Genomic DNA, 17,112 nt, shown 5'->3' on the forward strand with positions numbered 1-17,112 from the left:
AAGCTTGAGCCATGGCTTTTTGTTATTATTGTGCTTTTTCTTATTTTGGTAGTGACGGATTGCAGAGCATTATCCAGTCTCATGTCCCTAAGGCAAAAACAAAAAACAACAAAAAAAACAAAAAAACAGCAACAACAACAACAACAACTCTATAAAGGAGTTGAGGAAGTTAGATTTTTTAAGAAAACTGACTTGTACCATCTTCTTAAAAGCAAGGTGTGTTCTAAGAATCAGTAGTGCCTCAACATGGTACAGAGGAGAAGGGTCCATTGTTAAAATAATGTCTAGAAGATGTTTCCAATTCTTTTCCTTTCTTGGAGTCTCATTGAACATATTATTAAATTAAAGTTGCCGGAAAGCCTCTCGGGAAAGAAACCTGGCTTGTAGGCTAATCTAGTATTTTCTAATTTATTTGCCTGTAGACACTACTCCCTGACCTCTGCCGCTGACTTTTCTTAAACACACACAAACATTACATTGAGCTGCCTTCGATTCTTCCAAAGGCTTGAATGAAGAGGGAATCAAACAGATAAGCTGACTCCCTGTGGAGAGTTGGGAGGTGTCTGCCATTGGCTTTGGATTCTGAAAAGCCACACAAGCTAGAGGAGTTGTCAAGAGGTTCATTTTTTGAGGGGTCAGGAAAGGCATAAATTAGGGGTCTGGCAGTAATTCAACAGCTAAACTCTCTTTCTTAGACTTTCTCCTAGAGGATCTTAGAATCCACCCATCCTATAGGTGTGTCACAGCTACTGGGACTTGCCTAGGCCAGACAGGAGTGAGTCCTTTGGGCCAATGCTTAGATACTGAAGGGTATAGAATATATTATGGTTCAGAGGAAGAGCAGAGGATTTGGAGTCAGACAAACACGGGTGAATGCCTTAGCTCTACCAGGTATTTACCATGATACCTGGGAAAATCTCTTAACCTCTCTGAACCTCTTTGTTTATCTGTATGATAGATACAATTAAAGTACTTAGACCAAATGGTTGTGAAGCTTTCTTAAATATTTAAAAGCATTTTTTTTAAATGAAGTAGTATATAAATGATAGTTAATTTAATTTTAATAGTAAGAGTATTCTTACTGATCTACATGGCCCCGCATTTTGTGGATTGACTAATCATTGTTTTATTTATTCAAATGGTCAATATTTACTGAGCATTTTCTATGTACCAGGCACTGGGTAGGTGCTTACACAGAGCGTGAAATAGAGCAGATCCAGTCCCTGACTTAATGTAGCTTACATTCCATTGTGGGAGACATATGATAAGCAAATATACACACAAATAAATATAGAATTATAGTCCCCTCCTTCCAGGTACTGATGTGGTAATTTTTAAATGGGCATATTGCTTATAATATATATTTTGAAGGTAATATCCACAAATAAATATACGGAAATGAATTTGTCAGCTTAAGTAAAGAATAAGATTATTAATATAGAACTGGAAGAGACCTTAGGAATAATTTATCTCAATCTCCTCATTTTATAGATGAGGAAAACTAGGACCCCGAATACTACAGAAACTTACCCAAAGTCACATGTTTGTTGTGTCATGTGTGTCACATGTGTGCGTGTGTGTGAGGCAGGGGTCAGAACACAGATTTCCCTTCTTTACTCAGTGCTTTCCACTCTGCTGGTTCCATCTGAAAGGCATTATGAGTGGCTCCTATTTTATCTGTGTGTTATAAGTACACTCTTATACAATGTGTTCTGATTATCAAAAATTGGGGACCCAGACCAATTGATTTTTCCAAACTTTGTTCCATGAAGCATTAGGATTTTATTAGATGTTAATAGGTTATCACTTTAAGCTTCTTGGTCAAATTACTGTTGGAACTTTATCTTTACTATAGAGATCCATAAATGTATATTGTAATTTTAAAAGATTATTCCTGCAGTAAGGAAACCTTTCAAACTACGCCCAACCTAACATTCCCCAAACTTACTTGATTACGGAATCCATTTTAAGTTCTGTAACTGTGAATGTGATTCATGTGCTGTGCAGGAAGTGTAGCCTTAGCATCCATTTAGTTGGCTTCTTGGTAAAGGTTGTGGAAGCCCAATAGAGCTCGCTAAACCAAAGCCAATCACACAACTTTAAAAGGAGCAGTTTCTTGGGTCTTAGGAATTCAGGCAGACTGTGGATGTGCTGTAACATGTAGGAGCAACACCTAGTAGGACTCATTTTCTTAAGGTGACCATGTCCTTTTAACCAAGGACTGAAATGGGAAACCATGGAAGCATAAAAAGTATGTTTTGATATATCTTTGAAGAAAAACAGTCCTCTCTAAGTTTTTCTATTATTATTTTCAAGTCTTTTAAAATTATTATTATTGTTATCTTTTCAGGCATTCACAAGCCCAGAGTTCTCCAAAAGGGTGCGATATCTTCGCAGGACATGCAAACAAGGTAGCTGGATATCTTGATTCCAAAGTAAATGTGTATCACTCCTTCAGACTCATCCAAGTTCATAGGCATGAAGCTTGTCTGCGGCTGCGTGGTTGGACCATCCAAACTTGAAACTGTTAGTGATATTTTGAAGTCTTTGAGACAAAAGCCCAGCTTGCTGAAGAACTTTGGTTCAGTAGAGAGACAGGGAGGTACAGGGGAGAGAGAATCAAAAGCCTGGAAATTTGCTGCTGAGAATAAATGTTAGCTGCTCCCTGAGGTGATTTGTCTGTGCACTCCACTCTCTACAGATGTTAGAGCCTCTTTTTGAGTAAGGACCCGAGGTTCTTTGGTAGCACTTTGATATCCTGCTCGAATTCAATATGTGAAATGGAGGCGTCTCTCTGTGACTTGGAGCCCACAGCAGGCTTTGAAGTCTGATCCAATTTTTGCTGCCTACTATTTGATGTTGAAAGGATGAAATGAAGAAAATGTACAGTTTTTGCCAGTAACTCTGCTGAGCATATGTAAGATTAAAAAAACAAAATCCTTTGGATGATGTACTTAGAAATGTTAAGCAGATTAATACCTTCCTATAGGTTTTCTTTTTTCTTTCTTAGAGATAAAAAATAAGTATAGGTGAAAATCAGCACATAGCTGTTTTATATTCTGGACTATAATTAATTTAACAGGAAGCTAGGTTGACTCGTTCTGAGGAAGAAATGAATGAAGCAAAAGATGTTAAGACTTGGCTTCTAATTGCCCCAAGGAGAGGACCTCCATTCAATTCTATGTAAGATGGGAGCAACTTACAAATGATTCCAGTATACTTAGCCTCTTGCTTTTAGTCAGGTTTAAGTGCCCCTTCATTAAATAGAAGCCATGTCCTTAAGGCTGTTTCATCAGAGGATAAGAATAATATTTCTCTTACTGGGTTTTTCTGAAGCACTCGGTTTCTGGGACTGATTTGCTGTCTTCTCGGATATGCCATCCTGCTCCAGATCAGCAAGGATTGAGTCTCTGGGGAGCCCCTCAAAAGCCTGGTAAGAAGAACGTTTTGAATTGCATGCGGCTTCTACCATTTGCATGTTTGTGTACTTTTTAGTGTGTTGTTTGGGCAGGACTCAATTAGATAGTAATATGACCAAATGTTGGCAAAAAGTTTTGGGAAGCCATACATGCTGGATGTAAAACTTGTATTAAAGGTAGCAGTTTACCATGTACCCATGTCATTTAAGACAATGAATATCAAAGTCCATGCTTTTCCATTTACTTAACCTTAAACTAGGAAACTGTTCTAAAATTTCATTTTATTAAAGGGAAGATAAACAGCTGACCAGCTTTTAGTGGAGCGGATCACGCAGGGTCGAAATCTAGGAGTTGATAAAGAATATGGATTTAGAAAGTAGTTCTGCCCTTTTGGCAACATGGCCATTCTTTGAGCAAGTAGACAGAAATGCCTTTGGGACACAACTCTTTCTGGCTCGTTTTCTAAATGTCTTGCTACAGAATATAGTAAAAGTCAGTTTCAGGTTTGCATGCAGCTAAAACCAGTGCTTCTGGAAAATAAAATAGAAACATAATTGTAAGAAATATTTACAAGCTAGAAGATACTAAGGACTACGTGAACCATTCCAAGAAAAGAAATGCTCCTGATGTTACACTTAATGTCAACCTCATCTATTTTTCTGAAATATAAAGTAATTTCTCAGATCTCTTCAATTTTCTTCTTAGCCTGTTTTTCGGTGACAAAGTAGCACAGTATGAAGTGGGAAATGCATAATAAATGTGTCATGACTTCAGTCTATATGGATCTTAAACTCTTGGAGAGAGACAAGAGGATGGGTCCATTATAGCAGAACCTTTTAAATGGACATGTAGTAAATGATAAACCCGACAAAGGAAATATTTTCCTCATAGGCAGACAGTATTCAGGAATAAGGCCACAATGAAGTGGGGGTAAAAGTAGTACAAAAAAAGAGGAGAGAATTTAGGGGAAAAACAGTATAATGGAGCAAAATTCATTATGCGAGAGTTTGGTTGGTACTTTTCTCTATCCAAACAGACAGTCTCTGTATTTTAATTGGAGTGTTTAGATCATTTATATTTAATGTGATTATTGATATGTTTTGGTTTAAATCTATCATCTTGCTATTTATTTTCTATTTGTCCTATCTAGTTTTTGTTCTCTCTTGGTATTCTATTTTTAAATAGATGTAATTCCTAAAAACAAAACTTTGAAGTACGGTTGAATAGCTAAACCATACTGACAGGTTCTGGCATCAGACCTGCCTGGATTCAAATCTCTGCTCTCCTGTGTTAATCAAGTTACATAGCAACTCCTTACCTTAGTACCTACACATGTAAAGTGAGGGAAATAGTAATGCATATCTGAGTGGTTTTACTTAGGATTAAATGAGCTAGTGTAAGTAAAAGGCATAGCATAGTGTCTGGCTCATAGTAAGTGTTTAGTAAATGTCAATTGCTGTTACGGTAATTATTGTTATTGACATTATATAAATGCAAACGTAATCTATGAACATGAATACTAGGTAGAGAAATAAAGTTCTTTTTGTAAGGCATTAAGTTTTGGTGTGATAGTTCAGGGGAAGTAAAAATACATTGCATTTTGAATTAATATTTATTAAAAAGAAAAGAGACTTGTTGGATTACAATAATCTTTCCCATTCTTTAGGAAAGTATCTTAAAAAGTCAAATTTATTAATAAGTTACACATCTGATTTGCTATAAATGGCTCATATGCACTTTCTTTCTAGAGTTGTCTCTTCCTTCCAGTCTAAATGATTTTCTATTGGGTCTGCCACCATCACCATTACTTCCCCTTACACTCTTATAAACAGCATCCTAAGTATTTTTCCTGCCTCCATTCTTCTGCTTTAGCTTCTCTTATGCCAACAGAAACCTAAGATTTCTAAAGCAAAATCCTAATCATGACCTTCTCTCCCTCCATACTCTTCAGTGTCTCCCTAGTATCCCAGCATGACCTTCAAGGCTTTCTCTGTTCTGGTCCTAATCTTCTTTTCTAGCTCTAACTTCCACTGCTCTCTCTTTTTCATTCTGTGCTTCAGAATCTCCAAACTATTCTCTATTCTCCGAACATGCCTGGTGTGTTCTTTCCCTCCTCTGTGACTGTTCATGCTGCCTCTTCTGCTCCACATGTCCTTCTTCCTCGTTTACTTTTCAAAATCCTCTCCATTCTTCAAGGTCCACAATGGCTCCCTACTCTTTTACTCTTTCTTATAATACTTATCACATCCTGCTTTGTGTTATAGTTACTTTAATGCATCTACTAGATTTAAAACTCTCTAGAATCATGTCTTCCCATTTATGAGTTCTCTCCTCACAACCTAGCCTAGGTCTCGAATTGAATTCTTGAACATCCAAAGTGGTGATGAAATATAATGGAAGCAAGAATGAAATGAAACTCTACCTAAGTAAGCAATCAGAGAAAAGTTTTAAAATGTATTTCTAACAATCCTAGAACAAAGTAAATGTTTCTGAGGCAAGCTCCAAATAGATATAGTGTACTAGTGGAAGAAATTAAAATAATCCAAGCTATTTCATTTTGTTGCTATTGCTGTTTTGGGCAGGAGAAGCAAAGGAAGTTTAGACATGAAGACGTGAGAAAACACTATATGTAAATCGAATTCCCCTTGATCTTAGAAAACGACAAAGATGAAGAACAAATTAGTTTTTCCGTTTCGCATATATTATCAGTTGTAGAAACAAGAATATATTATTTAAGCAACATTTTTAGCAAATTATACCTTTGTGTTTCATTCTGTGCTTTAAATGACCCATTATTTTAACCCATGTTTTTGTGGAAGGCTGAATGAGAACATTGTGACCTTTTCAGTTTAAAAAAACACTAACATCCAGAAGGTTTGCCTTCTAACTTGCAGTGAGGCCTAACTTCGTTATTCTATGAAGGGGTCTGGTGAGGTGAGAGTGAGAGGCAGGGAATAAATCTAAAGTTACTCCATCTCAAGCTCAGCTTAGAGCAGCCACTCAAATAAGTCTCTAAATATGGGGCTTAAACAAGGCTGTCTTCAGAGTATAAGAAGTGTCCCTGGCACGGCGTGGTGGCTCACGCCTGTAATCCCAGCACTTTGGGAGGCCGAGGCGGGCAGATCACGAGGTCAGGAGATGGAGACCATCCTGGCTAACACAGTGAAACCCCGTCTCTACTAAAAATACAAAAAAAAAAAAAAAAAATAGCCGGGCATGGTGGCAGGCACCTGTAATCCCAGCTACTGGGGAGGCTGAGGCGGGAGAATGGCGTGAACCTGGGAGGCGGAGCTTGCAGTGAGCCGAGATCGCGCCACTGTACTCCAGCCTGGGCGACAGAGCAAGACTCTGTCTCAAAAAAAAAAAAAAAGAAGTGTCCCTAAACTGGCCCATGTGGTCCGGCTTATTGCTCACATTAAGAGAAAAGCACAATATACCCGGGAAGTGCATAATTCTAGTCACTTGGTCACTAATCCAAGCAGTGAAATTATTTAATAGGACTGACAGCAATGTATACAGACCTCATCTGGTTTTACTAATGCAAATGGTTATACTTTAGGCATTTGTTCTTCTACTTATATTTATTTATTCAAAAAATAATTATTAACGCTATGTGCCAGGAACTGAGCAGTATTTCTCAAAACTTTTATAAAAGGCCAGTTTTTGGTTGGTTGTTTTCCATTTCACCACAGTCTGATACTTTTGTGGAATACAATAAAAATGAATTACTAACAAAATAATCATGCACTTGGATGTTGTGTCAATATCAAAACCCTGTCCACATGATGCTACACTCTAGCAGAGGGAGATAGACAATAAACATTAAGCAGACAAGTAAGTCAATTATGTGGGATGTTAGAAGGGTGAAGAGTTACGGGGAGAAAATACAGCAGCAAGGGTGATAAGGGGTGGCCCAGGCGTAGAGGGTGAGTTTGGGTGGTTGTATTTTTAAACAGGGTGGCTTCATTAAGAATGTGAGGTTTGTAGCCGGGCGTGGTGGCAGGCGCCTGTAGTCCCAGCTACTCGGAAGACTGAGGCAGGAGAATGGTGTGAACCCGGGAGGCCGTGCTTGCAGTGAGCCAAGATCGCGCCACTGCACTCCAGCCTGGGAAACAGAGCAAGACTCCGTCTCAAAAAAAAAAAAAAAAAAAAAAAAAAAAAGAATGTGAGGTTTGAGTAAAGGCTTGAGGGTGGTGAGCCAGTTCACCATGTAAATATCTAAGAGAAGAGCATTCCTGGCAGAAGACCATGATAAAGGCCTGGAGGAGAGAATGTGAATGGACTATATGAAGAGTAGAAGTCCCTGTATTGGAGCTAAGAGAGCAAAAAGTAGAGTCATAGGAAATGAGGAGCCAGATAGTGCAGGTTCGTACTGCTTAATGTCCTAACAAACATCCTAGGAATCTAGATACAATGAAGATTCTCATTCAGCAGGTCTGAGTGGCTCTGAGATTCTGCAGCACTAATGAGCTTGCAGGTGGCTCTGATATTGTCGGTCTGAGGTTCACTTTATGAGTAGTGAGGGTTTAGTCTCAGTGAAATGGGAAGCCAGTGAGTGGGAGAGTGGCATGATCTGGGTTATGATTTTAACAATAACTCCAGTTTTGGAGTTGAGAACCAACTAGACATCATCAAGAAATGAGATAGTCTGTGTAAGTACATTTTCTCTACAGCTGAAACTCTCTCAAACCTAAAATTACCTTTCATATTGAGTGCACAAACACAATTCTCCTTATTCTTTGTATCTAGGGGCATGATTATTAACAGCAGTTATCACATTGGGCTGTAATGCAGAGCAATCCTCAGAGACCAATATGAAATGGGGCCACCTACCCTTGCAGTAAATGACCCTTGACCATTATGATTTTTAGTTAATGTGCCAGATTCTCTGTTTAATTTTTCCTCTCTCAACACAAAGCTGATGTTTCTTGCTGTTGTTAATGAGCTGACTTTTTGTGACATACTTTTCTTCTCCTTCTTCCTTTTTCATCTTTGCTATGGTCTAAAAAACAGGTTTTAAGCATTTTTTTTAGGCAGTAAAAGAAGTGGGTTTGAGAGGGAGATCTGAGAAAATCCCCTATGAATAAAAGAACAGGAACTCTTATGTATGTAGTACCTATATTAGGTACCATGCCAGGCCCTTTACTTACATTTTCTTAATGTAAAGTACACAAGCTTTAGTTTAACCTTGTGACCTGTGCCTGTTAAAGAACCCTCACTACCTGCCCTTGGGTTTTCTTTTATACCTCACCTAAGAGGTACCTCTGTTCTGGGTTTTCTTCCTGTCTACAGGGAGTATACCTTAATCACGTTTCTTTTTGAAGGTCAAAAGTAGCAAGCAGTATTCTACTGGCCTCCTGAGGGGGTCACAGTTGGCAAAGCACACTGTTGGGATGTAGTAGAGCCACCAGAGAGCATGTGGAACCTGGCATCAGGCATTAGTGATTGATTTCGGGTCTTTCATGGCCTGTCTAGCCACAGCTCCTGAGCAAATCACACCACTTTCTTTCACTTAGCAGCTTCTTTAATGCCATCTACTTCATTATTTTCCTTTACCTTTCCAGTTGCTCTCATTACTAAATTTTATAAATTTTATAGTTTTTGGCAGCAATTCAGCTATCAGAAAGCAAACTCAGGCTGTATTTTATTCTTGGAAACTTTGATCCTTAAGGTGACCAAATATCTCAACTTTCCTGTGACAGAAATGTTTTCCAAAATGTGGGATTTTCAGTGCTTACACCAGGACAGTCCCAGGCAAACAGATGAGTCGGTCACCCTGTAATAATACAGGAAATTGAGTTTGATTTAGGCAAGATCACTATATCGGGCAAGACTATGCCTCAGATCCATGCAACAGAATCACTTCACACTGGCCGCCTGTGTTTGGAAGGGAGCGCAAGCAGCTTGCCAGACAGCAATGCTATGATCATAAAGGGCTAAGATGTCTCCCATTTGATAGGGAAAGCATGTTCCTACAACAGAGTCTCAAAGGCCGCATAATCTCCCTCAGGAAGGCACGTGGAAATCAGACACTAAACAAAGGCAAGGCTACTGGGCATCTCTGTCCCATACCCAAATTCATGACTGAATGTCACACACAAGACTGTATTCATTTATGGGTAGTCTCTGAGGTTCTGAATCCCTGCTCTTTTTGGCTCCCTCAGGCTGAAAACATCTTTTCTTCTTGTCTGGATGCCATTGAATTCACCTTAAACCCTCACCAGTAAAACTTGGTAAAGTCTTATGTGAGGACTTTTCTCAGTAAAATGACAAAGGAATTACAGGTATAGAATTGTTATTGCTAGCATGTGAGGTTAGAAAAACACCTCAAATGAAGGGATCTTTTTAGACAAATGGCTCTCAAACTTCACTGTGCTCTCCAGAATCACCTAGAATGCTAGTTAAGACAGACTGCTGAACCCACTGCATAGTTTCCAATTCTGTGTGGGATGGAGGCGGGGATTCGTATTGTTATCAAGTTTCCAGAGGATAAGATGCTGCTGGTCTGGGGACTTCCCTTTGAAAATCACTGCTCTGGACATTACCTATCTCTGTGACACAACATTGAATCAGAGAAAGTGGGCTTTATATATGTGGCTTTCTCCTCATTCATTCAACAAACATTTATTGAGCACCTACTATATGTCAACCACAGGGCCAGGAAATGAAATAAGACACTTAAGAGACTAATACGATTATAATATCTTGGTCTTTGCAGCTGTTGTTTTCCAAAGCTAGTCTGGTGACATGTTGAGTGTCCTCCTGTATCTCAAGTGATCTCATTAAATTCTCGGGAAGTTGTCAAGAACAAAGTTACATTTACTTTTAGCTTTGCTGTGCAGGAAGAGGGTGGGAGTGTTCCAGACTTCTAAATAGTCTATAAAGTATATCATTTTCTAAAATTATTAGGAATGACTGCCTTTATTGTTTGTTTGTTTTTGTGAGACAGAGTCTTGCTCTGTCACCCAGGCTGCAGTGCGGTGGCATGATCTCACCTCACTGCAACCTCTGCCTCCTGGATTCAAGCTTTTCTCATGCCTCAGCCTCCTAAGTAACTGGGATTACAGGCCTGAGCCACCACACCTGGCTTTTTTTTGTATTTTTTTGTAGAGACAGGATTTCACTATGCTGCCCAGCCTGGTCTTGAATTCCTGGACTCAAGTCATCCATCTGCCTCAGCCTCTCAGAATGCTGGGATTACAGGCATGAGCCACCACACCCAGCCAGAAATTATTGCTGTTAAAGGTTATTTCCAGATTATAAACTATGCTACTTCTGCTAACCTGGCTGTAGTATATTCTCCCACATGGCAAAATTACTCTAAGCCCCACCAGATCTGAATGTTTTCATATATATTTAATTTAATTTAATTTAATTATTTATTTATTTATTTATTTATTTATTTATTTATTTTTAGGTGGAGTCTTACTCTGCCACACAGGCTGGAGTGCAGTGGTGTGGTCTCAGCTCACTGCAGCCTCCACCTCCTGGGTTCATGTGATTCGTTCTTACATATTTCTAATACATATGTCATTGCCATAATGTTTGTTCCCTGACTTTTTGCAAAAAAAAAAAAAAAAAAAAAAAAAAAAATCTAGGCAAGGCCAACATAAGGAAGTGTACAGTTTGAGGCTTGTGGGCATGAGGACAAAGGGATGGAAGAAGAAAGAAGACAGATTATAGTTGTCTTAATCCCCAATCCAATTTCTAATTAAGCTTAATTTATATTAATCATATACTTTTTCTGTTTTGCTTAAGTGACTGATATGGTTTAGCTCTGTGTCCCCACCCAAATCTCATGTTGAATTGTAATCCTCAGTGTTGGGGGAGGGACCTGGTGGGAGGTGATTGGATCATTGAGGTGGGGATTTCCCCCTTGCTGTTCTCATGATTGTGAATGAGTTCTTGTGAGATCTGGTTGTTTAAAAGTGTGTAGCACTTCCCCCTTCTCTCTCTCCTGCTGCCATGTGAAGATGTGCTTTCTTCCCCTTCCCCCTTCTGCCATGATTTTAAAGCTTCCTGAAGCCTCTCCAGTCATGCCTCCTGTACACCCTGTGGAACTGTGAGCCAATTAAACCTCTTTTCTTTATAAGTTACCCAGTCTCAGTCTCAGGTAGTTTTTTATAGCAGCATGAGAATGGACTAATACAGAAAATTGGTACCAGGAGTGGGGTATTGCTATAAAGGTATTACCATAAAGATAACTGAAAATGTAGAAGCAACTTTGGAACTGGGTAATGGGCAGAGGTAGGAACAGTTTGGAGGGATCAGAAGACAGGAAGGTGAGGGAAAGTTTGGAACTTCCTAGAGACTTGTTGAAGGGTTGTGACCAAAATGCTGATAGTGATATGGACAGTGAAGTCCAGGCTGAGGTGGCTTCAGATAGAGATGAGAAACTTACTGGGAGCTGCAGTAAAGGTCACTCTTGCTATGCTTATCAAAGAGACTGGTGGCATTGTGTCTCTAGAGATCTGTGGAACTTTGAACTTGAGAGAGATGATTTAGGATATCTGGTAGAAGAAATTTCTAAGCAGCAAAGCATTCAAGAGGGGTCCTGGCTGCTTCCAAAAGTCTACACTCATTTACATAAACAAAGAAATGACCTGAAACTAGAACGTTTATTTAAAAGGGAAGCAGAGCATAAAAGTTTGGAAAATTTGCAGCCCAATCATGTGGTTGTAAAGAAAAACACATTTTCTGTGGAAGAATTCAAGGCTGCAGAAATTTGTATGAGTAAAGAGGACCTGAATGTTAATAGCCAAAACAATGGAAAAAAACTCCTCCGGGGCATTTCAGAGACCTTCATGGCAGCCCCTCCCATCAAAGGCCTGCAGGCTTAGAGGGAAAAATGGTTTCCTGGGCTGGGCCCAGGGTCCCACTGCTCTGTGCAGCCTCAGGACATGGTGCCCTGCATCCCAGCCGATCTAGCTTCAGCTGTGGCTAAAAGGGGCCAAGGTACTGCTCAAGCCATTGCTTCAAGCCCCAAGCCTTGGTGGCTTCCACGTGGTGTTGGGCCTGTGGGTGCACAAAAACAAGAGTTGAGACTTAGAAGCCTCTGCCTAGATTTCAGAGGATGTATGGAAACACCTGGATGTCCAAGCAGAAGTCTGCTGCAATTGCAGAGCCTCATGGAGAACCTCTAATAGGGCAGTGCAGAGGAGAAATGTGGGGTTGGAGCCCCCACACAGAGTCCCCACTGGAGTACTGCCTAGTGGAGCTTTGAGAAGAGGGTTACTGTCCTCCAGACCCCAAATGGTAGATCTACCAATACCTTGCACTATGTGCCTAGAAAAGCTGCAGGCACTCAATGCCAGCCTGTGAAAGCAGCCAAACTTGCAGAACCAAAACGCTGAGCTGCCCAAAGCCTTGGGAGCCCACCTCTTGCATCAGTGTGGCCTGGATATGAGACATGGAGTCAAAGGATATTATTTTGAACCTTTAAGATTTAATGACTACCCTGCTGGGTTTCAGATTTGCATGGGGCCTATAGCCACTTTATTTTGTCCAATTTCTTCCTTTTGGAATGGGAGCATTTACCCAATGCCTGTACCCCCATTGTATCTTAGAAGTAACTAACCTGTTTTTGGTTTTACAGGCTTATAGGTGGAAGGGACTTGCCTTGCCTCAGATAAGACTTTGGACTTGGACTTTTGGGTTAATGCTGGAATGAGTTAAGACTTTGGGGGACTCTTGGGAAGGCATGATTGGTTTTGAAATGTGAGAAGGACATGAGATTTGGGAGAGGTTGGGGTGGAATAATATGGTTTAGCTCTGCATCGCCACCCAAATCTCATGTTGAATTGTAATCCCCAGTGTTGGGAGAGAGACCTGGTGGGAGGTGATTGGATCATGGGGGCGGATTTCCCCCTTGCTGTTCTCATGATAGTGAGTGAGTTCTCACAAGATCTGATTGTTTAAAAGTAAGCAGCACTTCCCCCTTCCCTCTGTCCTGCTGACATGTGAAAACGTGCTTGCTTTCCCTTTACCTTCTGCCAGAACTGTAAGTTTTCTGAGGCCTCCCCAATCATGCCTCCTGTACAGATTATGGAACTGTGAGTCAATTTCACCTCTTTTCTTTATAAACTACCGAGTCTTGGGTGGTTCTTTATAGCAATGTGAGAATGGACAAATACAGAGACTTTTCTCATTTTTACTAGATCTGGGTTTTTGGTTTCTTTGTTTTTGTTTTGCTTTGTTTTGTAATTTTGAAGAATAGGAACAGGGTGCTTTGGACATCAGTTATAGTCCTAGTAGTTTACCTCAACTGAGGGCTCTGTTCAAAACTGGTGCTCTCTGAAGGAACTCTGTGGATACCTACCAAGATTGATCATAGTGCCCCATTTCCCTTGAAAGAATCAGGATGAAAAGGAAGAACAAGGGATGTACTCCACAAAGGTCAGTGCTTTTCTCCACCCTCAGCCAGCTGAATCAATAGCAAGATTCTGACTCTATTGGAGGAGCTGAGGCTAGAGGAGTCTAGAGGCGGCTGGAGGGGAAAGTGGCCACAGATGTGAGAGTGGCAGATACAAGCCGCAGAGGTCACATGCCAGGCCACCATTCCTGAGGCCACATACCTCAGGAAAAACCTTTCACAGCCTGTTCTCATTCCTGCGACTCATTAAAGCACATTACAGAATTGAACAGTTTTTGAACATCATTTCTTCTTAGATTGTTGCTGCAAACATAGCTGTGAAAAGTTCTTGCTAAACTTTTCCGGTGCTTTCCTGAGTTCGTTAGGTCATGATGCACTTTTTGCCAATGCCAAGTTAGGTTTTGGCGTTGGCCCAGGACATCAGGAGTGCAGATGCCAAACAACACAAGGCGGGTGGTGTGTGAGTCAAGTTAGGGTATTTGGCTTCCAAGATTGGATGTTGATGGCATGGCTGTAAAATGTGCCTAGAGAAAATTTATTTTTAAATTCTTTTCTTATTTGATATAATTGAAACAACACATACTCTCAAGACTGCCCTGTTAACCACAGCTGCCTAGTTTATTTCATTTTAAAGGATTCTTTCAACTTTAAAATCAAACATACAATTGTTTAATGGTAGGGTTGTAGTGATTTTTCTTCTTTTTATGTTTGTTTGTTTTCTAAGATTGAGAATAATAAATTTGTTTGCGTTTTAAAAAGTTAATAGAGTTTACTTATTTGAGTAATTTTTGGCTTACAGAAATATTGAGCTTAAAGTACAAAATTCTTACATACCCTTTCTCCTCTCCTTTTCTCCCTGTTTCTTCTATAATTAACATCTTGTATTAGCATGGTTCATTTATTACAATTGATGAGCCCATATTGATACACTATTATTATTATTACATTAGAGTTCACTGTTTGTGCTGTACGTTCTGTGAGCTTTGACAAATGCGTAATGACCTGTATTCATCATGACAGTATCATACAGAATAATTTCACTGACCTAAAAATCCCATCTCTACCTCCTTATTCCTCCCTCCCCACAAGCCCCTGGCAACCACTATTTGTTTTTTTATTTATTTACTTATTGATTTTAGTGCCTCCATAGCTTTGCCTTTTTCAGAATGTCATATAGTTGGAATCATACAGTATATAGCCATTTCTGATTGACTTCTTTCACTTTAGCAATATGTACTTAAGAGGCCAGGTGTGGTGGTTTACACCTGTAATCCCAGCACTTTGGGAGGCTGAGGTGGGAGGATTGCCTGAGGCCAAGAGTTTAAGACCAGCCTGGACAACACAGCAACACCCTGTCTCTACAAAAAATTTAAATATTAGCCAAGTGTTTTGGTGCATGTCTATATTCCTAGCTACATGGAAGGCTGAGGTAGAAAGATCACTTGAGCCCAGGAGGTCGAGGGTGCAGTGAGCTATGATGGTACCACTGCACTCCAGCCTAGGCAGTAGAGCAAGATCCTATCTCTAAAATAATAATAATAATATGCATTTAAGATTCCTCCATGTCGGCTGGGTGTGGTGGCTCATGCTTGTAATCCCAGCACTTTGGGAGGCCAAGACAGGTGGATCACTTGAGGTCAGGAGTTCTAGACCAGCCTGAGAAACATGACGAAACACTGTCTCTACTAAAAGTACAAAAATTAGCTGGGCGTAATAGCACACGCCTGTAATCCCAGCTACTCAGGAGGCTGAGGCAGGAGAATCACTTGAACCTGGGAGGCAGAGGTTGCAGTGAGCCGAGATCACGCCATTGAACTCCAGCCTGGGCAACAGACCAAGACTCTGTCTAGAAAAAAAAAAAAAGATTCCTTCATGTCTTGTCATGGCTTGATAGCTTAATATCTTGGTTGCTTCCAAGTTTGGACAATTATGAGTGAACCTACCATAAACATTTGTGTTCAGGTTTTGGTGTGGATGTAACTTTTTAATTCATTTGAGTTAATACCTAGGAGCATGATTACTGGATTGTGTGGTAAGAGTATGTTTAGCTTTGCAAGAAACTGCCAAACTGTCTTCCAAACTGGCTTTACCATTTTGCATTTCCTTCAGCAATGAGTGAGAGTTCCTGTTGCTCTGCATCATTGTCAGCCTTTGGGGTCGTCAGTATCTTGGATTTTTACTTTTTTTTTTTTGAGACAGAGTTTAGCTCTTGTTGCCCAAGCTGGAGTACAATGGCACGATCTTGGCTCACTGCAACTTCTGCCTCCCGGACTCAAGTGATTCTCCTGCCTCAGCTTCCCAAGTAGCTGGGATTACAGGCATGTGTCACCACGTCTGGCTAATTTTTTGTATTTCAGTAGAAACGGGGTTTCACCATGTTAGCCAGGCTGGTCTCGAACTCCTGACCTCAGGTGCTCCACCTGCCTTGGCCTCCCAAAGTGCTGGGATTACAGGCGTGAGCCACTGCACCTGGCCAGATTTTGACATTTTAATAGTTGTGTAGTCACATCTCATTATTTTAATTTGCAATTCACTGATAACATGATATTAAGCATCTTTTCACAGCTTATTTCTTTCACATGCTTATTTGACATCTGTGCGTCTTATTTGGTGAGGTATCTATTCAGATTTTTTGACCATTTTAAAATTGCATTGTTTGTTTTCCTATTCTTGAGTTTTAAGAGTTCTTTGTATATTTTGGATACAGTCCTACGTTAGATACGTGTTTTTTTTTGTTTTTCTTTCCAACTTTTCTTTTAGGTTCAAAGGGTATGTCTGCAGGGTTTTTTATTTTTATTTTTATTTTTTTTTGAGACGGAGTCTCGCTCTGTCGCCCAGGCTGGAGTGCAGTGGCACGATCTCGGCTCACTGCAAGCTCCGCCTCCTGGGTTCACGCCATTCTTCTGCCTCAGCTTCCGGAGTTGCTGGGACTACAGGCGCCCACCACCATGCCCAGCTAATTTCTTGTATTTTTAGTAGAGATGGGGTTTCACTGTGTTAGCCAGGATGGTCTCCATCTCCTGACCTCGTGATCCGCCCGCCTCTGCCTCCCAAAGTGCTATTTATGTTTGCTAAGTTACTAAAACTCCTGGAAAAACTAGAAAAACTCAGGTTGTCTGCTAAAACAGTATTTAGCAAGAGATCAGTTTGTTGGTTTAAATTTCAGAGAGGGCTGGGAGATAATAAAATATACCTTTATTCCTCATTCATTAGGATATTTGTCCAGCAGATGTTACTTGAGCACCCACTAAATGGCAGACACTATGTTTGATATAATACAGGGAGCAAGAGCCAGGCTTGCTCTTGTGAAATTTATATTCT

General features: G+C 40.2%; 1 protein-coding gene across 11 annotated transcripts in view; it reads left to right on the forward strand.

Annotated features, from left to right (window-relative positions):
• MYO3B (myosin IIIB) overlaps nt 1–17,112 on the forward strand; it is a 477,021-nt gene that overhangs the window by 362,409 nt on the left and 97,500 nt on the right. For all 11 annotated transcript variants that reach the window (NR_045682.2, NR_045683.2, NR_045684.2 and 8 more), the window contains 2 exons: nt 2,351–2,411; nt 3,337–3,433. Coding sequence is in view for 8 of the 11 variants with exons in the window: in NM_138995.5 (NP_620482.3) it covers nt 2,351–2,411; nt 3,337–3,433 (158 nt within the window). In the remaining 3 variants the exon portion in view is untranslated. The remainder of the gene's footprint in view (nt 1–2,350; nt 2,412–3,336; nt 3,434–17,112) is intronic.

This window comes from Homo sapiens, chromosome 2 (assembly GCF_000001405.40).
Source record: "Homo sapiens chromosome 2, GRCh38.p14 Primary Assembly".
In the NCBI taxonomy this organism is placed as follows: domain Eukaryota; kingdom Metazoa; phylum Chordata; class Mammalia; order Primates; family Hominidae; genus Homo; species Homo sapiens.